This window comes from Homo sapiens, chromosome 6 (genome assembly GCF_000001405.40).
Source record: "Homo sapiens chromosome 6, GRCh38.p14 Primary Assembly".
Lineage (NCBI taxonomy): Eukaryota > Metazoa > Chordata > Mammalia > Primates > Hominidae > Homo > Homo sapiens.
In genome coordinates this window covers 107700744-107726007 of record NC_000006.12, presented here as the reverse complement: position 1 = coordinate 107726007, position 25264 = coordinate 107700744, and the positions used below count along the sequence as shown (strand labels likewise).

The 25264-nt window shown below is 45.5% G+C and overlaps 1 protein-coding gene across 11 annotated transcripts in view, besides 2 other annotated features; it reads left to right on the top strand.

The window, feature by feature from the left end:
- The window catches only part of SCML4 (Scm polycomb group protein like 4), a 143885-nt gene extending 120031 nt beyond the window's left edge, over window positions 1-23854 (top strand). For all 11 annotated transcript variants that reach the window (XM_047418598.1, XM_011535706.2, XM_047418596.1 and 8 more), the window contains 3 exons: window positions 5015-5305; window positions 17997-18142; window positions 20683-23854. In XM_047418598.1, coding sequence (XP_047274554.1) covers window positions 5015-5305; window positions 17997-18142; window positions 20683-20808 — 563 coding nt within the window. In that variant the 3' untranslated portion in view covers window positions 20809-23854. The remainder of the gene's footprint in view (window positions 1-5014; window positions 5306-17996; window positions 18143-20682) is intronic.
- Window positions 9083-9232: a silencer, noted in NCBI's record as "silent region_17443". NCBI's record gives its function as "represses an Ori minimal core promoter by ATAC-STARR-seq in GM12878 lymphoblastoid cells {active_cell/tissue: GM12878}" and the evidence as "EXISTENCE:reporter gene assay evidence [ECO:0000049][PMID:35858748]".
- Window positions 12499-12608: a silencer, noted in NCBI's record as "silent region_17442". NCBI's record gives its function as "represses an Ori minimal core promoter by ATAC-STARR-seq in GM12878 lymphoblastoid cells {active_cell/tissue: GM12878}" and the evidence as "EXISTENCE:reporter gene assay evidence [ECO:0000049][PMID:35858748]".
- Window positions 23855-25264: the final 1410 nt, after the last annotated feature.

Below are 25264 nucleotides of genomic sequence, written 5' to 3'. Positions count from 1 at the left end.
CCTCCCAGGTTCAAGCAATTCTCATGCCTCAGCCTCCCAAGCAGCTGGGATTACAGACTCGCATCACCATGCCCAGTTTATTTTTGTATTTTTAGTAGAGACGGGGTTTCACTGTGTTGGCCAAGCTGGTCTCGAACTCCTCATGTGATCCACCCACCTCTGCCTCCCAGAGTGCTGGGATTACAGGCATGAGCCACCGTGCCCAGTGCAAACGTGCAAAAGTTTTTAATTTTGATGAAGTCTAATTTATTTTATTATTTTATTGCTTGTGCTTTTGGTGTCAAATCTAAGAATATTTTGCCAAATCCAAGGTCACAAACATTTACCCCATATGTTTCTTTCTAAGAGTTTTATAATTTTTGCTCTTACATTTACATTTTTTATTCATTTTGAGTTAATTTTTGTATATGGTGTGAGTAAGGGCTTTCCTTTAGTCTTTTACATGTGGATATCCAGTTGTCCCAGCACCATTTGTTGAAAAGACTATCCTTTCTTCCATTGAATGGTCTTGGCACCCTTGTGGAAATCAGCTGAACATATACACATGGATTTACTTCTGGATTCTGAATTATATTTCATTGATCTGTATACCTATTCAAATGCCAGAACCACACTGTCTTTTTTTCCCTCTCCAATGACATTGGCTTTATTTATTTATTTTTTTAAAAAATTTTTAAATCAACGCATAAGAGATGTATGTAGTTTTAGGGTACATGTGATAATTTGTTACATTCATATAATTTGTAAAGATCAAATCAGTGTACTTGGGATATCCATCGCCTTAAATATTTGTCTTTACTGTAGAACCATTTGAATTATTCTTTTCTAGCTATTTTCAAATGTTTAATAGATTGTTGTAAACTATAGTCACTCAAGTGATTTCTCAAACTCTAAGTCTTATTTCTTCTATAAAACCATATATTTGTAACTTTAATCAACTTCTCCTCATCCTCACTGACCTCTGCCCTTCCTGGCCTCTGGTAACCACCAATCTACTCCCTATCTTCATGAGATCCACTTTTTTAGCTCCCACATATGGGTGAGAACATGTGATATTTGTCTTTCTGTGCCTGGCTTATTTCATTTAACATGATGACCTCCCACATTGTCTTGATTATTGTTGCTTTGTACTAAATTTGGAATCAGGAAGTGTGAGCCTTCTACTTTGTTTTTGGTTTTCATGATGGCTTTGGCTATTCTGTGTCCCTTGCAATTCCATATGAGTTCTGGAATTAGCTCGTTATTTTCTACAAATAAATCAGTGAAGATTCTGACAGGGATTGTGCTGAATCTGTAGATCAATTTGAGGGGAATTGCCACCCTAAAAATAAGCCTTCTGATCTATGAACATGAGATTTTTTTTTCCATTTATTTATATCTTCTTTAATTTCTTTCAACAATGTTTTGTAGTTTTCAGAGTATGTTTGAACTTTTGTTAAAGTTATTCCTATTTTATTTATTCTTTTTCATACTATTATAAATGGAATTATTCTCAATTTTATTTTCTAATTGTTAATTGCAAATGTGTAGAAATACAATTGATTTTTGCACATTGATCTTGTATCCTACAACCTTGCTGAACTACTTACTAGTTCCAACAGTCTTTTAAGTAGATTCCTTAGGATTTCGTACACATAAGAGATAGTTGTACTTCTTCCTTCCTAATCCAGATGGCTTTTCTTTTCCTTAACCTAATTGCACTGGCTGGAACCTCTAGTACAATGTTAATAGAAGTAGCTGGAATGGACCGTCTCTTTTTGTTCCTGATCTTGGGGGACAGCATCCAGTCTTTGACCATTAGCCATGATATTACCTATTGGTTCTTTGCAGATACCCTTTGTCAGATTGAGGAAATTCCCTTCTGTCCCTAGTTTGTTGAGTGATTTTATCATAAAAGGGTATTGGATTTTGTCAAATGTTTTTCTGCATCTGTTGAGGTGATTGTGTGATCTCTGTTTTATTATTCTATCCATATGGTGTATTACATTAATTGATTTTGGAATGTTAAATCAGGCTTGCATTCCTGGGATAAATCCTACTTGGTCATGGTGTATATATCTTTTTATATGTTGCCGGGTTCAGTTTTGCCAGGTTTTTTGTTGAGGATTTCTGCATTCATATGAATACCAGATATTGGTCTATAGTTTTCTTATGATGTGTCTGTCTGGTTTTGGTATGAGGGTAATCCTGGCTTCGTAGAAGTATTTGCCATAGAAGCTGGGAAGTATTCCACCCCCTTCTATTCTTTGGAAGAATTTGTAAAGAATTAGTATTATTTTTTCTTTAAATGTTTGGTAGAATTCAACCGTGAAGTTATTCAGGCTTGGGCTTTCTTTGTGGGTAGTTTTCTGATTACTAATTCAATCTTTTTACTTCTTACAGGTCTACTCAGATTGTCTTTTTCTTCTTAAGTCAGTTTTAGTAGTTTGTTCATTTTATCTAAGTTATCTAATTTACTGGCATACAACTGTTTATAGAACAGATGGTTCCCTACTTAAGATGGTTTGACAATGATTTTTTTCACTTTATGGTGGTGTGAAAGTGATACACATTCACTGAAAACCATGCTTCAAGTATCTATACAACAATTCTGTTTTTCACTTTCAGTAAGTATTCAGTAAATTACATGAGATATTCAATACTTTATCATAAAATTGGCTTTGTGTTAGATGATTTTGTCCAACTGTAGGCTAATGTAAGTGTTCTGAGCATGTTTGAGGTCAGCTAGGCTAAACTATAATGTGTGGTAGAGTATGTATGCTAAATGCATTTTCAACTTATGATATTTTTAACTTATGATAAATTTATTGGGATATAACCCTATTGTAAGCAAAAAGCATCTGTATTTCTCAATCTTTTTCAATTTCTGTAAGGTTGGTAGTAATTTCCTCTCTTTCAGGTTTTCATTTCTGATTCTAGTAATTTGAATCATCTCTCTTTCCTTCTTTACGTTTTATTTGTTTATTTTTTTGTCAATGTAGCTAAAGGCTTGCAATTTTGTTGGTTCTTTTTCCAAAGAACAAGCTTTTGGTTTTATTGATTTCTTCTATTGTTTTTTAAAATTCTCTATTGAATTAATTTTTGCTCAAATCTTTATTATTTCCTTCTTTGCTTTTTTTTCCAGTGTCTTATGATAGAAGATTAGGTTATTCATTTGAGATCTTTCTTCCTTTAACAGAAGTATTTACAGCTGTAAATTTACCTCTAGCCACTACTTATCTGTATCACATCTTCAAAGACTTTTATTTTTAGTCAAGCTCCACATCCATCCCCAACTATGAGAAGATCTGCTAGCTTCCCTAATAAAATCAAGTCTTAATCTTCAATAATCTTCCTACATTGTGGAAGAATCCATGTATGGAGAAGACATTTGGATCTTGTGGCCTCAAATTTGTTTTTCATTGCCAATCATGGAGGATCCATTGGTTTTTGTTGTTGTTGTTGTTTTGTTTTGTTTTTATTTTTCATATTTTTGCTGATTGCATTTTCTTTGGGCATACCAAGATCTGTTTTGATGGTGTCTAATATACAGATAATTATTGCTGGGGACAGGTAGACATGATCTTGTCCTGGTGGGAGGGACTAGAATAGTTTCCTTCTTTCTATCACCGTAATTTCTCTGGACTTCCCCCACCCCCCAAAAGAAAAACTCCACATAAAAATAATAAAACAAACAAAAAACCCACCATTCGGCCACAGGTGTAGCTCACAGGGAGTTCAACAGGCTCAATGTTGAGCTTTAAAAGTATAGGACTGTAATCCCAGCACTTTGGGAGGCCGAGGCAGATGGATCACTTGAGGTCAGGAGTTTGAGACCAGCCTGGCCAACATGGTGAAACCCCATCTCTACTAAAAATACAAAAATTAGCCGGGTATGGTGCTTCCAGCTACTCGGGAGTCTGAGGCAAGAGAATCGCTTCAACCAGAGAGGTGGAGGTTGCAGTGAGCCGAGATCGCACCACTGCACTCCAGCCTGGGTGACAGACTTATTGATTAAAACTCCATCTCAAAAAAAAAAAAAAAAAGTATGATAAGTCCTGGTTTACTTAAGAGGCGCTGATGATGAGGTTGGCAGACTTTCTAAGTCCTCTCCTCCCTCTGCACTTTAGCTTGGCTCTTTAGCTCTCCTGTGAAGGGTTTGGGGAGGATTGTGGGGCTATCCAGATCAGCACTTGCATCCCTGCTTGTTAGCCGTGGCGGAGGATGGCTGCCCTCATGTGTTTGTATCAGGACTAAAGGTGTGGGGAGAAAGCACTGTGGCACCTGGGCCACCACCCAGGCCACAGTTGTCTCTCCTGACTCTGGGACATTGTGACTCTTGCTTGATCTCTCCCAGGAGTCCTGAGCCAGGTGAGGGGGGCTGTGCTGGTGGGTGAGCAAGAGCAGGGAGTACAGGGAGATTCTGAGAAGCCAGCAGAGACTGTGAGGGCAGAGCCACTGCAGAAGAAAGTCTTTGATCTTACTCTTTTTTTTTTTCTTTTTTTGAGATGGAGTTTTGCTCTGCAACCTCTGCCTCCCGGGTTCAAGCGATTCTCCTGCCTCAGCCTCCTGAGTAGCTGGGATTACAGGTGCCTGCCACCACATCCGGCTAATTTTTTGTATTTTTAGTAGAGATGGAGTTTCATCATGTTGGCCAGGCTGGTCTTGAACTCCAGACCTCAGGTGATCCACCTGCCTTGGCCTCCCAAAGTTCAGGGATTACAGACGGGAGCCACTGCACCTGGCCTGATTTGGGCTTATTAAGTCATCAATGGCCAAAATATCAATTTTCCTCTAAGCACCGAGGAGCACACCTCCTAATTCCTATTACAATATGCTCCTGTGGGCAAAGCAGCTCTCAGCCTGCTGACAGGTATGCTATTTGGAATTATGTTGTGAGGTTCATTTCTCCTCTCTGCATGCTCACAAATACTGGCTACTGTGTTGGCAGGGCAGGGTTTGCCAAGACGGAGGGTCTGATAGCTTCCTGAACTGCTCTCTGATATCTGCTTCTCTGTACTGCCTTATTGCTTAGTCAAGACAGTCACCACCGAAGAGTACCTGGTGAACCCTGTGGGCATGAACCGCTACAGCGTGGACACCTCCGCCTCCACCTTTAACCACAGGGGCTCCTTGCACCCCTCCTCCTCGCTGTACTGCAAGAGGCAGAACTCTGGAGACAGCCACCTTGGGGGTGGTCCTGCTGCCACCGCTGGTGGTCCCCGCACTAGCCCCATGTCTTCTGGTGGCCCCTCGGCACCTGGGCTGAGGCCTCCAGCCTCCAGCCCCAAGAGAAACACGACCTCTCTTGAAGGAAACAGATGTGGTAATGTAATGCATGCATCAGCTTCCCACTGACTTAACATCCCTTGCCCTTGCGCGGGGAGCACAGCATCTGGGGAAGGGGGAGTGTGGCTGTTTAAACGTGGGACTGCTGGGAGATCAGAAATTTCCACAAGTCCTTTCATGGATCTTGAGGTTCTCAAAAACAGCCAAACTCAACCTTTGATAAGCAAAGAAAATCGTGTATTAGGGCAGGCTAGGCCACAGGATACGTAGACTCCAAAATGTACACAGGCTCAAATACCATAGAAATTTTTGTTCGAGAGCCAAAGGTGAATGTTCCTGATTCATGGATGCATCTCAATATAGGGACATAGGCTCCATCTATTTTGTGGCTCTGCCACCCTCTACAGCCTTCATGCCCCATGCATTAGGGAATAGAAAGGGAAAGAAGGTGTGGAGAAGACACAGGTGCTTCCCTGCAATCTGAAAGTGATGCTCATCACTTCCACTCACATCTCATTGGCAAAAGCTGGTCATTTTGCCACACTTAACCATAAGGGACTCTGGAAGCTGTAGGTTAGCTCTGCCCAGGAGAAAGGAGAACCAGACCTTGGTAAAGAATTGTCTCTTGCATAGGAAGTGTCACCTTCAGGATACAAATACATGAGCAGAGGCAGAGTTAGGCAAAATTCCCCCAATGCTGGTTGTAATGCCACTTCTGTCTCATCCACTAAAGAAAGCTTGTTGGAATGCAGTCTACAAAAGCGCTATAAGGGCTAAAGGATTATAGTAATAGCTTGAAGGCCCTTCTGATTGATGTTTTAAAAAATCATTTTCAAGCTTCAGTATTTTGATAGTGCCTAAAGGCCATAGAGTATAGTGGATAATCACTGGGACTAGAGCCAGACAGCCTGGGCTGAGATGCTGGATCTGCTGCTTCCTGCCTACCTTTTGCAAGTCTTAACTTACCTGTGCTTCAGTTTCCTCACCTATAAAATTGTGATAATAATAATGGCAGCACCTGCCTCATAGGATTGTTGGGAGGATTAAATGAGTTCATACATGCATTTAGTACAAGACCTAGGAGGTAACAAGAGCTCAATAAATGTTAGTAGTTACAGCATAGATCTTTTTAACACATCCCTTAACAGATCACAGCCCATCAGCTCCACAGCTGAGAACTGCTGAAGAAAGAAGGCCCCAGGCCAAGGAGTCTGGGAGTCTTCATCTTGCCACCCTGTAGCCCCTCAGTGGGCAGGCTCTGTCTTCTGTGGCAAGTCACATTTCTCCCCTGAGCCTAGGATCCTTCCACCAGTGACCCCAGCAAGCCGCACACGTGAGCTATTTTGTATGATTCAAGACCCTCCACACATTCTCTTCCAAGAGCCTCATCCAACCCAGATGAGCGTGGCCCTGACCAGCTTCCCCTGGCCAAGGATGGAGAGGTGAGAAGGGGCCCCTTGCCGGAGAGGCGTTCTGAGGGGTAGAGCGCAGATTCTCCCTCCACAGCAGCTCTTACCAAATGTAGAGATGCCCTGCAGGCCACTTTCCAACACTGTCACACAGGGCCATGAGCCAGGCAGATTAAGTGAGCAGAGCCCTATTTTCCAAAGGAGAGCAACATTGTTCCATTTGATTCCTAAGAACAAGAGAAAGGGACAAGATCTTTCACGAACCAACACTGTAAAGTAAACCAGGGGCAGCCTTGATTTCATAGGTTTGTCCCCAGTGTTAGCTTAATATCTGGCATGTGGTAGGTGTTCAATAAACATGCATCATGTCTGTGCCCTCACGGTGTCCCTTTGTCTTCTTGTCAAAACACTCATCCTTATGTCCCTCTTGAGTTTAAATGTCTTTCTCTCATCCTCTTCTCCTCAGCCCCATTCCCCTTTTCTCAGGGTGGTGATCACAGGACACCATGCTGATTGAATTGACTCATAATCCCAGAGTCCCACTTTTTAAAAAGGAGATATTTACTCTCTCTCCCACTCACGTTGGTGCAATCTCAGCCCTATGTCTTAAATGCAGGATTTCCAGCAGTAAGAGGGAGGCATGATTTGGTTGGAGAGAACTTCTATCACTCACTCAACAACAGTCTGCCCTGTTCAGTCCAACTGGTGACCCAGGGCCAGGGAATCCAGGGCTCTTCAGAGGGCTTCAGCATAGCTCCTGTCCCCCAGCCCCTCACACCTCCTTCCAGTTGAGCCCTAGGATGTCCTCCTGTCCTTCACTTTCATCCCCATACCGGCCCTTTGTTCTCCTGTGTATGAGTCTGTTCTGCTAATAAAGACATACCCGAAACTGGGTAATTTGTAAAGGAAAGACGCTTAATGGACTCACAGTTCCACATGGCTGGGGAGGCCTCACAATCATGGCAGAAGGCAAAGGGAAAGCAAAGGCACGTCTTACATGGTGACAGGTAAGAGGGCTTGTGCAAGGGAACTCCCCTTTATAAGACCATCAGATGTCGTGAGACTTACTGGCTACCACAGGAACAGAATGGGGGAACCAAACCCATGATTCAATTATCTCCAACTGGCTCCATCCTTGACACATGGGGATTATTACAATTCAAGGTGAGATTTGGGTGGGGACACAGAGCTAACTCATATCATCCTGGAATCAGGCCCTGACAGTCTGAGTAATCTTGCCAGACGACTGGCCGAGGGGCAGCCCAGACCCTTCCTCAGCCTCCAGCTCTGAGAAAGCCTCTCTGCTGGAGCCTGGTTGCACCCCAGGAGAGGCCCCCTAGCTCAGGCCCTTCTGCCTGTCAGGATCTGGGATGAGATCAGAGACACGGAGTCCACCTGTGCCTGCTGCCTTTCATCCCAAGAACATCAATACCTGAACCCTGAATCCTGGCTGTCTTTTTAATAACTTAGAAGTATTAGAACCAGCCAGGCACGATGGTTCATGCCTGCAATCCCACCACTTTGGGAGGCCAAGGCGGGTGGATCACTTGAGGTCAGGAGTTTGAGACCAGCCTGACCAACATGGTGAAACCCCGTCTCTACTAAAAATACAAAGATTAGCTGGGTGTCGTGATGCACGCCTGTAATACCAGCTACTTGAGAGGCTGAGGCAAGAGAATCGCTTGAACCCGGGAGGTGGAGGTTGCAGTGAGCAGAGATTGCGCCACTGCACTCCAGCCTGGGCAACAAAGCTAGACTCTGTCTCAAAAAATAAATAAATAAAAATAAATATTAGAGAGAACTTTGCCTGAGACCCTGAAATCCAGTTGTCCATAATCAGCAGGACCCCCACCACGGGACTGTGGGATGTTTAAAATCGCAAAGCCACCTAACCTCTTTGGAGAAAAGCTGCTATGTGATGTATCAGTTGAAGTTCACTGTTGAGCCTTTGTGATACACTGAAGAAAAATGAAATTATTCATCCTTTGTAGGTCTGTTAACACTTTAATTCTCCGAAGATTCCTTTTTTTTTTTTTTTTTGAGACAGAGTCTCGCTCTGTCACCCAGGCTGCAAGCTCTGCCTCTTGGGTTCATGCCATTCTCCTGCCTCAGCCTCCTGAGTAGCTGGGACTACAGGTGCCTGCCACCACACCTGGCTTTTTTTTTTTTTTTTTTTTTTTTTTTTTTGTATTTTTAGTAGAGACGGGGTTTCACAGTGTTAGCCAGGATGGTCTCGATCTCCTGACCTCGTGATCTGCCTGCCTCGGCCTCCCAAAGTGCTGGGACCACAGGCGTGAGCCACCCCGCCCAGCCGAAAGATTCCTTTTAACCAGTGCCTTCCTCAGGGTGCTAAATAAAACCGCAGGTACCAGAAACAGCCAGTCAGCCATGCACATTCTCAGCAGTGAGACAGAGGAAGTGGGTGGGGAGAAGACGGAAGGAAGGATAGCACCAGTGTCTCTGAAAGAGGTTTCCGTTTCTGCTTACATTTCATTGACCAAAATGTAGTCACATGGCCACTTGCTGCAAGGGATGCTGGGAAATGTGGTTTTCATTCCTAGCAACCATGATTCCAGATGGAAGTTAGGGCTGCTATTACAGAGGAAGAAGTGCAAAGTAACGCTGAGTAGGCAATGGGAAGTCTGATCAGAAATGCTCACTCCCTCCTTTTTCCTCCCATGGCACTTTGTTTCCTCATCTATAGTTCTTACTCTATCCTAGAGAAAGGAACAGACCCTCAGCTTTGTGAAGCCTCTTATTCATATTTGAACCCCCCACAGCCCTGGCAAAGGGGGGCTTGAGGCCTGTATCAGACTGTTATTTATTGAACACCTACACTCAAGGGGGCCAGACAGTTTCCGACTTATTATAAGTTATATGTTTAGGATTTAATATTTATAAAAAGGTATTGGTATATTTGATTTAAAGATAAAGAAAAAGAGGTTCAAGAGAAGGTAAATCAAGTGTTAAGCCAGGATCTGACTTCAGTGGGCTCCAAAGCCTGTCTTTCAAAACAACCCCAGGGGTTTTCAAATCATGCCTGATGGCTTTCAAGGTTCTAAGAGATGGAGAAGATGGAACAAGAGCAGACAGGACTCCAGGTGCCCTCCCTCTCTTTAAGCAGGGCCTTTTCACATTTGCAGAGTGGGGTTCTATATGTGCTTTGCTTAAACAAAATTTGCACAACTAAAAATGTTTGGAAACCATGGAGATAAAAACCATGCTGACTTGAGTGGCAGGATGTTAAAGTGGGAGAGAAACCGCCAGCGTCCTCACCCATTTCTCACCTAGCTGTCAGCCTAGTGCCTGCTGTGGGTCCCCCCACACCCCACCCTCCCACCCAAATGACTGTTCAATATTGCTCTGAAGTTCCATCCCAAGTAAAAAGCAGTTATCATCAAAAAAACCATACCTCTTTAAGGGAGTTTGACCCAAGTCATAAACCATGGAAGAGACTTAGAAATGGCATTTTCCCCATGGTACTAATCAAAATGGTTTAAAACCACAAAAGCCAGAAAACTGCATGAGGCTGCAGGCAGAAGGGTGGGTATTGATGACTTGACAAACTCCTCAGCCTTCTCTCTCTGGCGGTACTTACCTTTAGCTTCCTGCAGTTGTGATATATCACGTCTGTCTCCGCTGCCAGTGGGCTCCAAGGGGATGTGTTCACAGGGCACATTTTCCTGGTGTCTGCTGATGCTCTGGTGAAAGTTTGAGAGCTCTTCCTTGTCTCTCATCCAAGATATAATCACCAAGAGCTATAAAGAGGTTTTGGATAACAAAAGCTTCCTGACTTGGGCATTTAACAAGACACACTGTAGAATTCCCAACCACAACTAGGTCCAAGATTCAGAATCAAGAAACGAAGTCAATCTGATATTGCTATTACAACCCAAATGCCTCCTGTGGTTGGATTTTTATTTGATAGGGCCTGGCATTGGGTGAGGGATGGAGACAATTTAGCTAGAAAAAGAAGAATGAGAACAGCATTGTATGTGAGGAGGTGAAGCGGACAAAAGCATGGCAAGAGCTGATTAATTAAAGAGTTTGTGTAGGGGCCAGACGCAGTGGCTCACACCTGTAATCCCAGCACTTTGAGAGGCAGAGGTGGGCGGATCATCTGAGGTCAGGAGTTCAAGACCAGCCCAGTCAATATGGTGAAACCCCGTCCCTACTAAAAATACAAAAATTAGCTGGGTGTGGCGGCACATGCCTGTAATCCCAGCTACTCGGGAGGCTGAGGCTCGAGAATCGCTTGAACCTGGGAGGTGGAGGTTGCACTGAGCCGAGATCATGCCACTGCACTGCAGCCTGGATGACAAAGCGGGACTTCATCTCAAAAAAAAAAAAAAATAAAGGGTTTGTGCAGGGACACCAGGGAAACCATGCTGGGAGGTTTGGGATCCATTTCAAGCAGATGGGGCTTTGCTCTGTAGTAACTGTAAACCAGACATTTCTGAACAGGGGAGTGAGCTGGTGGCCCTGGGATTTAGGAAAACAAATCTACTGGCCATTTATGGAATGACATCATCATAATAAGAAGAACAGCAACTACCTAATGAGTAATCCTGTTTAATGCTTTACAACATTATGCCATTTAATCCTTGCAACAGCTCAACGAGGTGTTTTATAGAGCAGGCAGTTAAGACTCAGGTTTTGGTTGGTCCTAGCCAGCAGAGACTTCCTGGGCACAGTGTGCCAGGGGCTCTTCTCACATCTGAGGACAGAGCTGTGAACAAGATGGACACCGGCCCTGTTCTCTGAGGGTTTGCAACTCCAGGGAGACAAATGTCAACAAATTATTACACTAATTTCATTACAATTGTGATGATTGCTGTCAGGGAGAAGTGTGGATGCTGTGGGAGAATCAGATGGGGAGGGAGTGGCTGAGCCTACCCTTCGGAGTCTGGAAAGGCTTCCCAGAGAAGGGGCAGTGGAGCTGGCTGGAATAAGCAGGAGGAAAGACAACCAGGGAGGGTCAGTAGGGAGGAGGGATGGCTGGAGGCTTCCCAGCAGAGGTAACAGTGCTTGCTAGGAGGTCACAGTGTCTTCTGGTGGCCAAGAAGGAATCTCGCTCAGCTCAGCTTGACTTCAAGCCCATGGTCTCTCCTTGTTTCTAGAGACATGCTCTCTCCTCACACAGGCAGGCCAGCTGGTCTCAAATAATTGAAAAGAAAAATCTGATTAAACTCTAAGGATTGAGTGGGCTCTCTTCCCTCTCATCTCTCTCACCACATGGCATCTTGAAAACTCTGGATAGAGTGAGTGATGCTTGCCTATAATCCCAGCTACTCGGGAGGCTGAGGCAGGAGAATCACTTGAACCTGGGAGGCGGAGGTTGCAGTGAGCCGAGATCACCCCACTGCACTCCAGCCTGGGCAACAGATAGAAATAATGAAAAACAGCACTGTTTCAAGCCATGTGATTTTGCCATAATCGTGGGCTAATCTGGGCATGTCACACATTTGATATGGCATTGTATCTAGAAAGGATGCATCTAGTGGGAGCAGGTCACTTGGAGATGCTGAGAACAGATCTCCCTCCCCTTCCCCTTGCCAGCCCCGGTCCTCCCAACCCAGTTCCAGGTGCCAGAAACCAAGAGGGCCTGGGCAGCTCACAGGCAGCCTGAGGACACAGGGGTCCCTGTCGGAGACAATGACCTTCCTGTCTTTAAGATTCTTATGGTCAGGCTCCAGCCCTGAGACACATTCTCTTGATTCTTAAAATATTCTTAAGAAGCAGCAAATAATATTCACAATTTATAGATGAAGACAATGAGGTCCGTAGAGAATGATCAGAGCCCAGGAGGGACGGGAAGCCTGGCTGTGGCTGCACTCGGTGTGTTTTGCATGTGGACACACTGATGCAGCCTTCAGCTGTGGGAGGAAGTGACTCCCTTAGTGGGAACAGCCTGAGGTGGGAGGGGTTACACAGTGTCATAAGGGGCTGGCAGGGGCTTAGAGATCAAGCCCTTTTATTTTACAACAGAGAAGCAGAGAGTCGATCACATGGCTGGTGGGTGGCAGGGGTTTCTGACTCCCAGCTCACTGCTAATTCCGCTCCTCCACATGACTCTGTTGTTAGCTAAAGAGTTTCTCCTGAATTATGAATGAGTGAAAGGAAATTATGTACGTATGGATGTGCTCATGGGCATGTGTAAGGCAGAGGGAGATTCACAGAGAGTGTGCAAGTACCTGTGCTGTGAGAATCAGGATTGCTTTGAAACACTGACTCATAGTCATCCTAGCTCTGGTAAATGTGAGTTCAGCTTTAGAAACAAGCATATTTAATCCATTCATAACTAGGTTTCACTTTTCACATGCCTCTGGCAGGGAATGACAAGACCAAGCACGATGTCCTCATTGGAGAACTCTGCCTGCTCACAAAGGTGTCTGGCCAGTGCTTCTTGGCATGCTCTGTCTGCTTAGGAGCAAGACTTTTCCACATCCATCATGTCTTACTGTTGATCTATCACATCTGCCTGCTGCAGCTGCACCAGGCTCCACCCATCTGTCTTCCTGACACCTTCGCTGCAGCTGGAGAGGGAGTGGCTAGTGTATTTATTATTTTTGTGAGCACAGACCACTGTGAGGCTCTGCAAACCTGCCACTGGAAAGCTCCATTTTTCTTCCTTTCTAAAGCGAATCTATGTGCTTTGGATCAGGAGCAGCTCCCGAGGTGTGACTTAGGCTGCCTGCTGCCCTCTGTCTTGTATGACTAAAAGGCCCCCTAAGAAACACGCCCGAGCCAGGCCCCTGCTGCCTCTGCTCCATCCTGGAAAAGTGAAAAGTGCCCACAGCAAGCCCTAGGTACCAGGAACAGAGCCCACTTTGCCATCTCAGTTATCTCTTTCCCTCCACAGCAATCGTCCTGAGAGCCTCCTCCTTAAAGACAAACCAGCCACCTGGCTCAGCCCTTCAACACTGTAGTTGAAGGGAAAGTGTTTCCCTGACCTAGCTCAAAGGACTCTAGGTTCCTGTGAATGATGCTGTTAATTGGTCTGGGTTTTCCCCCCTTCCTGTCAAATGCAGGAAATTAGATTTGACCTCTGCTCTGATCACTCTAAAATTATTCTTGGCACTAAAGACTTCCAGCCTTTGTAATCAGAGCATCTATTTTCACCCTGATTAACGCCAATGTTCTGATGGGGCAGGATCCAAAGGCAATGTGATTTCCGTGATTCCTCGTCCCCATGTTGAGTGCAGATGTCTTTAAATGGAGTGAAATCATCTTTAATAAGTGTGGATCGGCATTCAGATGGCTCCAGGGTGCATTAACAGATTCCCAGAAAAATGCCCCGTGCCAAACCACCTTATGGGACCCTTCCAGGTCCCACAAGGAAGAGGCAGGGAAGATCTCAAAGTCAATCCAATTCTCAGCCAAACCATTATGTGTTTAGGACAGACGCAGAAATGTGATGCTGTATTCTCCTCAGTGCTAATGGAGCAGCATGCACGTCTCAGGCACATTAAAAGGAGGAAGGAGACAGAGACAGCAGAAAGCCACTGTGCCCCGAGATCTAAAGAAGGGAAATAAAGTGAAGGCTTCTCAACTTCTAACTAGAATTCTTCTGTAGGAAAGCCGCTTCATTGTTCAGAGCCTTGTCTTTTTTCTAGCCTTAAAATAGAAGTAAAGATTACACACACAGGCTTTTGTATAAGTTACCGAGACTGTGTCTGCAGAGTATATTGATTCATCTCACATTTATCAAGTCCTATTTATAAACACAGTCATGCATCACTCAATGGGATACATTCTGGGAAATGCATCCTTAGGTCATTTCAATGTTGTGTGAAAATCATAGGTTGTACTTGCACAAACCTAGATGGTATAGTCTACTACACACCTAGGCGGTGTGGTACAGCCTATTGCTTTTAGGCTACAAACCTGTACAGCATGTTACTGTACTGAATACTGGAGAAAATTGCAACACAAATCACTAGGCGATAGGAACTAGAATCATTATCATCTTATGGGACCACCGTCCTTAGGCGGTGCATGACTGTATATGTACTCTGAGCCATGGAGGAGTCAATGATTATAACCCCTGTCATGAGAGGATCACATTTGTATTTTTCACCAAACGCTTCACCTAGCACCTGGTACAGAAAAGGTGCTCAATCAATGTTTGTTTTTATAGAGCAGGCAGTTAAGACTCAGGTTTTGGTTGGTCCTAGCCAGCAGAGACTTCCTGGGCACAGTGTGCCAGGGGCTCTTCTCACATCTGAGGACAGAGCTGTGAACAAGATCATGCCACTGCACTGCAGCCTGGGTGACAAAGCGGGACTTCATCTCAAAAAAAAAAAAAGAGTTTGTGCAGGGACACCAGGGAAACCATGCTGGGAGGTTTGGGATCCATTTCAAGCAGATGGGACTTTGCTCTGTAGTAACTGTAAACCAGACATTTCTGAACAGGGGAGTGAGCTGGTGGCCCTGGGATTTAGGAAAACAAATCTACTGGCCATTTATGGAATGACATCATCATAATAAGAAGAACAGCAACTACCTAATGAGTAATCCTGTTTAATGCTTTACAACATTATGCCATTTAATTCTTGCAACAGCTCAACGAGGTGTTTTATAGAGTGAGTGGGAGGCATGATCTCGGCTCAATGCAACCTCCACCTCCCAGGTTCAAGCGATTCTCGAGCCTCAGCCTCCCGAGTAGCTGGGATTACAGGCATGTGCCGCCACACCCAGCTAATTTTTGTATTTTTAGTAGGGACGGGGTTTCACCATATTGACTGGGCTGGTCTTGAACTCCTGACCTCAGATGATCCGCCCACCTCTGCCTCCCAAAGTGCTGGGATTACAGGTGTGAGCCACTGCGTCTGGCCCCTACACAAACTCTTTAATTAATCAGCTCTTGCCATGCTTTTGTCCGCTTCACCTCCTCACATACAATGCTGTTCTCATTCTTCTTTTTCTAGCTAAATTGTCTCCATCCCTCACCCAATGCCAGGCCCTATCAAATAAAAATCCAACCACAGGAGGCATTTGGGTTGTAATAGCAATATCAGATTGACTTCGTTTCTTGATTCTGAATCTTGGACCTAGTTGTGGCTGGGAATTCTACAGTGTGTCTTGTTAAATGCCCAAGTCAGGAAGCTTTTGTTATCCAAAACCTCTTTATAGCTCTTGGTGATTATATCTTGGATGAGAGACAAGGAAGAGCTCTCAAACTTAGCTCTCATCCTTAGGAAATAAAAATCTAACTAGAGGTTATAGAGAAGTTCATAAATAATTGTACTACAAAGTGGAATGTGAAAGCACCTTAAGAGATAGATGAACAAATAAAGATGTAGGAATAAAGGGGTAGGAAGCCGGGTGCTGTGGCTCATACCTGTAAACCCAGCACTTTGGGAGGCCAAGATGGGTGGATCACCTGAGGTCAGGAGTTCCCAACCAGCCTGACCAACATGGTGAAACCCCATCTCTACTAAAATACAGGAATTAGCTGGGCGTGATGGTGGGCGCCTGTAATCTCAGATACTTGGAAGGCTGAGGCAGGAGAATCACTTGAACCCGGAAGGTGGAGGTTGTAGTGAGCAGAAATCAGGCCACTGCACTCCAGCCTGCGCAACAAGAGTGAAACTCTGTCTCGAAAAATAAATAAATAAAATACAATAAAATAAAGGGGTAGGAAGGTGACATGCAGGCTGCAGGAAGCACAGAACATTTCTGTTCACGAAGGCATCAGGTGGAACATGAGTGGGAAGGAGAGAGGGTGAATGCCTTCTAGGTTGAAGTCAAAGCACCAGCCACAGGCAGAGGAAGGAAGCTGGGGAGACATTCGGTCGGTCACAACAAGTGTACCCAGACAGACAGGTGGTGCACAGGAGAGCAGGGATGTGGGGAAGGTAGGGAGGCTCCCGCCCTTGGCGGAGCACCTGACATAGGTCAGCCTCGGGGCAGGGCACTATCCCATTTCCATCCTTACACCTGCCCCTCCAGGTAGAAAGCACTGCCATTTCACACATGATGAGCTACATCCTGGTCCAATCACCAGCAAGGGGCAGCTCCAGGATCTGTCCCTAGGTCTCTCTGGCACCAGAGCTCTTCTCCCCCTCCATTAAGAAGGAAAAATATTATTAAGACCAAGAGAGCCCTTGACCTTGAGGTAGAATGAGGACTCAGTGTGTTGGTAAGGGAGACCCATTGGGAGATGGGTCTTAGGGAGAATGTGAGGCAGTGGCAGTTGTAGGCAGTAGGAAGAAAAGGACATGGCCCAAAAATACCCATTAGGAACCCATGGCAGGGGGTTAGGTGGCAGGCTCTGGGGCTGGGGCAGCAGGGGTGGAAGGGCATCAGCATCAGAGGCATTCTCCCAAGAGCTTCAGAATAATTAAATGTGGGAAACACAAAAAGGGGAGGACAAAGAGGTAGGTTCCTAAAATGGGGGAGATAGGAAGAGGAGCTGGCTCTAGGGAAAGAGGATGAATTAGTTTGGGACATACACACACAAAAAATCAACCCTAAATATTGCCGGCCATTGAACTCATTGCTGTCTTCCTCCTTCACTGTCCTGAGCCTTTTCACCTGCTGCATGGGAAATGCCCTATGCAACCATTTCCCAGGAAGCAGCTATGGACCAGATATAGGTTAGGCCCTTTGCGGTCAGGGAGTTCACAGTGCAGTGGGGGAGACCCGGGCAAATGCTCTGACAGCCCCAGAGGGCCGTGCAAGGACTCAATGTGTACCTGGGGCAGTGAGTGAGGGGACATCTTCTTTCTGCATGTGTGACCAGGGATGGCTCTGAAGATGCTGAGGCACACTTGCATTCTGCAGATACCGTGGAGAAGAACGAAAAGCCACCTCAATTCTACCATGCCTCTATCCTCTCAATGTGAAGGCCATGGAGGCAGAAAGGACCCCAAGTCACTGGCCTCACTGACGCGATGAGGCTCATTTGGGCACTCATCTTAGCACACTTGCCCTGGTCACCAAGTACCCAGGCTCAGGAGGCCCTGGGCCTGCCGAGAAAGAACTGAGCAGGAGAGTCTTGAAAACTCCAACGAGGGTGGGAATTCCAGCCTGTTGAAGGGAATCCACTGTCTAGTGCTTCCTCTCCTGGGAGAGCAGAGAGCTTTGGCATACATGGGGAGGGTAATATATCTAGGAGTGGCCTTCTGCACTCTGGGCTGCTGATAGAGCTGCCACTCACAGCCTTTCCCTATGACAGGAGGTCACTTGGGCCAGGTCCTTGGACTCATGGGCACTGAGGATCCCCCTTCCAGGCTAGGTGGGGGCAGGCAGCACCAGGTAGGTGCAAGGCCCTGTCCCACTGGCTCATGGTCTCCCTCTCTGTGCCCCATCCAGCCTCAAGCCCTTCTCAGGATGCGCAGGATGCCAGGCGGCCACGGAGCAGGAACCCCTCCGCCTGGACTGTGGAGGACGTGGTGTGGTTTGTGAAGGACGCCGACCCACAGGCTCTGGGGCCTCACGTGGAGCTCTTCAGAAAGCACGTATGCGAGTGGTGGGTTTGACCTTGGGGGGGATTGAGGGAGCAGGCACAGAAGGAGAGTGAGGTCCAGGGAGCTGCGGGATGCTGCCAGGGGAGGTGGTGGAGGGGTGCTCTAAACTAAGCCCTAGGGGCACCCTCAAGGGAGCCAGAGATGAGAGGGACAGGTACAACCACAGGCTCCTCAGAGCAGAGTGACCACTTAATTTGTTTTTAAAGGAATATTTGCCCTATCTCTTCTCTCATGTTGGCCTTCGTCAGGAGTGCCTGTTTCCTGCCCATCCAGCCGTCTGTGAATGCAACAAACATTCACAGCACACCAACGACATGCCAGGCAAACCGCAGTAGCACCTGTTCCTAAACCACTTCGAGGATTAAATAAGAAAATGCACAAAAGGTGTTCAGCACGGTTCCTGACTCGGATAGCCTTCACTGAGCAGATAGCATTATAATGATTTTGAGATATGCTAAAATATAGAGATGGTAATTTTTTTAAAGATAAGAATCAATAATTTACCTGCCAGGCTTACTATATGCATTTTGTTTTTGTTTGTTTTTGTTTGAGACGGAGTCTCATTCTGTCGCCCAGGCTGGAATGCAGTAGTGCGATCTCAATCTCGGCTCACTGCAGCCTCTGCCTTCCCAGTTCAAGCAATTCTTGTGCCTCAGCCCACCCGAGCAGCTGGGATTACAGGCACCCACCACCACGCCCAGCTAATTTTTATATTTTTAGTAGAGACTGGGTTTCACCATGTTGGCCAGGCTGGTCTCATCCCAAAGTGCTGGGATGACAGGTGTGAGCCACCGCGCATGGCACTGTACTCATTTTATATTGTGCTGTAACAGATTACCACCAACGTAGTTGCCTCACACAATATACATTCTCTGTCTTACCACTCTGGGGATCAGGAGCCTGGCATGGGTCTCAGTGGGCTCAGCCAGCAAGGCTGCCTTTCCTTCTGGAGGTTCTAGGGAGAATCCGCTTGGTTGTCTTTTCTGGCTTCTAGATCCACCATCAGTCCTTGGCTCCTGTCCCCCTGCCATCATCTTTAAAGCCTGTAACATCAAGCTGAGGCCTGTTCGGCTGCTCGGGCTGCCATCCCTGGTTCTCACTGCTGATGTCCTCTTCCACGTTTAAGGAGCTTTGTGATTACACAGCCGCCACTCCCCCCACCCACCTGGCCCCATAATCCGGGATAATCTCCCTACTTTAAAGTCAGCTGATTAGCAAGCTTAATCCCATCTGCAACCTTAATTCCCCTTCACCGTGTAACTTGACATTCACAGGTTTGGGGACTAGAATCCAGACGTCGTGCATGGAGGGGAAGGAGCATTATTCCGCCTTCCACAGTGACCATTATTTTTGTTTCCTGTTTCTTATTTTATTTGGTGATTCTGTCATAGAAATCATGCTCTCCAATCTTAGGAGGATTCTCATCTAACTCAGCACTTGCCTTTTATTAGGCATATGTTGACCTCACCTAACAATGGGGACTTAAGACCAAGAACCACAGAGTGGGTTATGCTTGGACAGATTTGGGCAGGGGGAGTCTGGCTGTCTTCCAGGGTGGGAGGAGACAGTGGGAGTCCAGGAGGTGAGGGAAATAAAAGACAGTAGAAAATGAGGCTCCTGGGAGTGGCCCACAAGTAAGCCTTGCCCACTGCCATTTTGCCAAAGACATGGAGAGTGACACAGAGTGGGTGCTCCATCAATACTGGCTGGCTGGGCAGATGAATGAGAGAGCTGGTGACCCTGGCACCATTATATGAATCCTGTAACTATGTCTTTTCTCCCTGCTTGAGCACCTGAAATTTCTACCCTTTGTCTCCAGTGACCTGAAAATGGCACTAAAGGTGACCATGGAAGCCCAGCCTTGCTAGGTTCATGAACTCCACATGCATTCTGGAGGGTGACCATTTTCAATGACCAATGGCAGCAACACCGGGACCAAACCTCAAAGGACTGGCTCATCCTCTTAGTAGTTCTTTGTGCTGAACCCTGAGATGAAGCAGGGGCATTCTTTAGTGTATTCCATCTAGTGGAATAGACAGGGCTAAACACACCTGAAATCTTCCATAGGTGGAATGAGTTGCTTTGTTATCAGCTAAAGGTAGGTGGGCCTACTAAGAAATGAGAAATTAGGGCAATAGGTGGAGGTTTGGAATGGAAAGACCCTCTAGTTCCAGGTTCTAATGGATGACGGTTTTTGCCCCTTTAGCCAAGTTTGGATGAGGAGATAAACTTCCTAAGTGGGATATTGGGAACACACATGAGGTTGTGTTTGATTCCTTCTATGAGGGGAGGGCAGGAATATGAAACACCCCGTGTATCAAATGACTCCAGGGAGATGATGGGGAGAGGAGAACACAGTATTTGTTTGCTTTAATATTTTAAAAGACCTTGCCCCAGGACCAAGAGAATATGCTGCCTAAATCAATCCATATGCCCTGAGCACACCCCTTGACCACACCTTAACCTTAGCCACTGTTCGATGACTCTGACCATCTTCTGGGTTTATCTTTCTTCTGATCCTATCCCACCAGGAGATTGATGGCAACGCTCTGCTGTTGCTGAAGAGTGACATGGTCATGAAGTACCTGGGCCTGAAGCTGGGACCTGCACTGAAACTCTGCTACCACATTGACAAACTGAAGCAAGCCAAGTTCTGACTTTTTTAAAAAGACAGAAGCGAAACCCAAAACAACAGATCCCAAGATTATCTTCTGCCTTACCAATATCCCGCCAACATCACAAACTAGACTCTCCTCTTAAAATTAACAGCCACAGAGACGTGGTCTTTTTATAAAACTTGTGAATCTTTGCCTTTTGAAGAATTTAACATGGACCTTTTCGAGAGGCTCCTCTGTGTTCATAATTTGCCAAAAAATTACAAAAGCCTGTGATTTTTAACATCCCTGTTATGCTGGTTTCTCTTAAAGTGGGTCCTATTTGCATAACGAGAGAGTGGGGAACTGAATGCTTATGCCCAAGGAGAGTTCTGGAGGGTTCAAAGGATGAAAGAAGGACCTTTGTCCCTGCGGTCTCTGCAGGGACAACCCCCTCAGCACCATCTGCCTCTAACTCTGACCTGGGGACCTATCCATGTGAGCCTTGTTTGCCTCAGCTCTGGAAGCTGACTTCTGAAGATGACTGCCTCACCTTGCACTGTCTGGAAAACTTGAATTATTTTACGCCGTGAAAGAAAAAGGAAAAAAAAAAAAATCTTTTCTGTTCCTAGAAAATCTGAAGTACTGTGTTTCTCCGCTAGAGGGCAGACTGCTAATGAAATTTCAGGACCCTCACTGACTGCAGTAGCAGGATTGTTCAGTACTGAGTGGATGGGTTAGGGTGTCTGTGAACAAGATCTAGCCCACACAGAAACAGGGGATTTATTCCACAGTTAGCACCACAGATTGCGACTTGGGAAGAAACCATCAGCTAGAGGGGTCTAGTTCGTATCCAATCATTATTGACTGACTGACTGATACTCAACTAGCAAAGGCAAGAATTTGGAAGCACGCTCTACCCAGATGGGACTTTGGAGTTCCTTCCCTTCCAGAGTCCTTATTGAGGTGTTGAAGTGTTGGCATGCCGAAGAATCTTAGTGACATTTAGCCATGGGTGTTTCTTTAAAAAAGGAAAAGAAAATGTCTCAACGAAGCTTTGAAATGGGAGAGTGTTGATTTCTAGTTACATTGCTGGGTTATGTAGTTGTATCTGTGGCTAATTTTTCTAGTCCTCAACAAATACACAGACATGCTATTATGGGGTTTAATTCAATTTACAAATAGGTTTTCCTTCCTCACAGTGGAGTAATAGAAAAAATTGATTTTCTGCTCCTTTGCAGCTGTGTCCAGAGACGGACAATGAATCCACAATTTATTAGGCAGAGGCACAACTTCTCCACCATTCGTTTTATCCTTCTCTTTTCTCTGTTTCCCTCCACCTCTCTTCTTCTTCTTTCACACTGAGCAGAAAACATATCTTCAAAATGAATTCGCCTTTGCCATGTGCATATTCTCTTCCTTAAAAGGACATCAACAGTGTTGGAGATGAGGAGATGAACATTAGATTTTGGAATTTCTGGGAGGGAGAGGGTTAGGGATGACTCAGGGCCTCCCTTCGCCCAAAGGTGAATCAGAAAAGGCACCCCTTTCTCTGGGATACAACCTGAGCAGGGGTCTCAGCTGGCAAGTGGAGCAGGGTGGGGGCTCAACCTCCTCACCGCTTGATCAGCTGCCGTTGTACAGAGCATGACCTGTATAACCTTGAGGGCAGCCCTGGGTAGATCTGCAGAGTGACCCTCTATATAGTTAGAATCCAGATGAAGGCCATAAGAAATAGTCCATGCCATGCCGTTAGGCCCACTTTCATGTGCAGTACTTGAGAAAGCACATCGTAGCCTCCTTTTCAGACACACAAATGGCGGCTGGACTGAGAGCATGGCAGAGAAGGGGAGGAGGAGAATGTACTAAACTTGCTCACTGAATTGAGCTTGAGTTATTAGATTGTAGAAGAGCTTGATGTCTGGTGATTTTGTTACAGGAAGGGGGTCCCGATCCAGACCCCAAGAGAGGGCTCTTGGATCTCATGCAAGAAAGAATTCAGGGTGAGTCCATAAAGTAAAGTGAAAGCAAGTTTATTAAGAAAGTAAAGGAAGGAAAGAATGGCTACCCCATAGTCAAAGCAGCTCTGAGGGCTGCTGGTTGCCCATTTTTATGTTTATTTCTTGATATGCTAAACAAGGGGTGGATTATTCATGCCTCCCCCTTTTAGATCATATAGGGTAACTTCCTGATGTTGCCATGGCATTTGTAAACCGTCATGGCACTGGTGGTAGTATAGCAGCGAGGACAACCAGAGGTCACTCTCGTTGCCATCTTGGTTTTGGTGGGTTTTAGCCAACTTCTTTACTGCAACCTGTTTTATCAGAAGGTCTTTATGACCTATATCTTGTGCTGACCTCCTGTCTCATCCTGTGACTCAGAATGCTTTAGCCATCTGGGAATGCAGCCCAGTAGGTCTCAGCCTCATTTTACCCAGCTCCCATTCAAGATGGAGTTGCTCTGGTTCAAATGCCTCTGACAGGTTCAGCACCTGAGAAAAGTACCTTGAATCAGGCCTTGGGGCAGAGTCTTCAAGATTTTAAGGTGATAGGGCCTGTCTCTTAAGAATTTATTAATCGTAAGTGCTCACTGCTGGTTTAGAGTTAGATACATTTCCCTCAAAACAGCCATGGGCAGGTTATGTACTCAGAACTGCCAGGGTGAAAACAATGAGATCCAGAAAAATCCCACAACAATCCAGGTTTTTCACTCCTCTTTTTTTTCTCAATCTTCCGATACTTGTGGTACCTCTTCCATCAACAGATACCTCATGTAGTGACTTCCAGTATCAAGTTTTCAAAACTTCCTACCCACCCTCATCAGTGCCTCCTTCACTACAGAGTCACAAACATTGGTGCTCTCAAATAAAAATCAGCCCCAAACAATGTCAAAGAGATCCCTTGAGTAGTTTTCAGGCGAGAGATATGTTCTCATTTCAAGTCTTGGAGAAAACTGGATCCATGTTCACGTGGAACTTCTCTCGCGGAGGTGCTATCTCATTTTGCATTAAACTTTAAGCAGGACAGATTGCTGAAGCCATGATATTTAAGGTTTGACTTTTTAAAAATCTCATTACTCTTAAAATAAATGCTGCCACATCAGAGAATAACCTGGGGAGGAAAATCTTCCTTGACTGTTTCTGCACTGAAATGCAATTAGCCAACTAAATTATTGTAGCAATACTGCAATTATAATTAATTTTCACCCCTCTCAAAAATCTTGTCAAACCAGGAGGCTAAATAGCTTCACAAATGTAAAACACACCAGGCCATTTCCTCTAAACAGACCTTAAAGGGTTAGGCCACGTGGGTCACCCTTGTCCAAATGAGAGCCGACCTGGGGGCCTCTCACTTGTACAGATGTGGTACTTATTATTCCATTGCAGTAGCTTTGCTTCAGGTTGTAGTGAATAATGATATCGTTTTGCATAATTCCAAATTAGAGTGTGTGTGTGTGTGCCTGTGTTCATGTTCCAAACATTTCCAATTACACTTGTCTGTTAAACACTTGAAAGAAAAAATCAAGAGACAATTCTATTGCCTAAGGCCTTTTAAATATTTCATGAATCACATTATTCCCTGTGCGAAGACTTTAGGTGAAAGCTGTGGGTCTTGTCTGTGTGTGTGTGTGTGTGTGTGTGTGTGTGTGTGTGTGTTTCCTGACACTGTAGCTGGAAGAGCCTTAGGAAGTGAGTGCTTGGGAGTATATGAGCCATTGCCTTTGCTTGGTTTGCAATATGGAGGCAGAACCCACTGTGGTCTGGTTGCTACTACTAAGTGTCCCCTCTTAGGCTACTAGGGTGTGCCCTGGAGGCAGCTGGGTGACCAGGGCTGTTCTGGGGCTCTAGGCCTGCCCCCTCAGGAGGATGATTGTATGTGCCAAGCCTGGGCTCCAGGTGACTCTCGGGAGACACATTGCCGGGGAGCCCACGGAAGGGAACAATTGTCTTGCGGGCGTTTAGCACCTACCAGAGAGTACACCAGACTCCCACCATTTCCCTGCAGCAGGGCTGCTACCAACTATATTAAATACATTGGGAAGGAATATGGGACTAGGGCCGGTTTACTGCAGAAGAAACCAGTGAGAAAGGGAGGCCTACACCATAAGTTTCTTAGGAAAACAATGAAAGCAGCAATTCTAACAGCCCCAACCCTTCACGCTGCAATAACCTATTTTTGTATCTATGTGCCGTATGGAATATTTCTTATTTTTTTAATTAAAATTCTTTTTAAATTATTTTTGAGATGGTTTTAGGAGAATTTTCTCAAATCTCTGAAGATAATTGGAGATGCCCATAGGTGACCAGGGACTCAAATGTAGTCATTGTCAGAAGGTCTCAAAAGATGGAAATATTCTGCTCTCATTCTAAAGAAACAACCAGGTTTACATATATGTAAGTGGTTGGCAGGCACTGTCTGACCTCTGCTCTGAAGGGGCCACTTCTCAGCTCTTCTCCACTGGGGAGAGAGGGGAAGGGGATTGGACTCACTTTTTTTTAAAACCTCGGATAACAAGACAT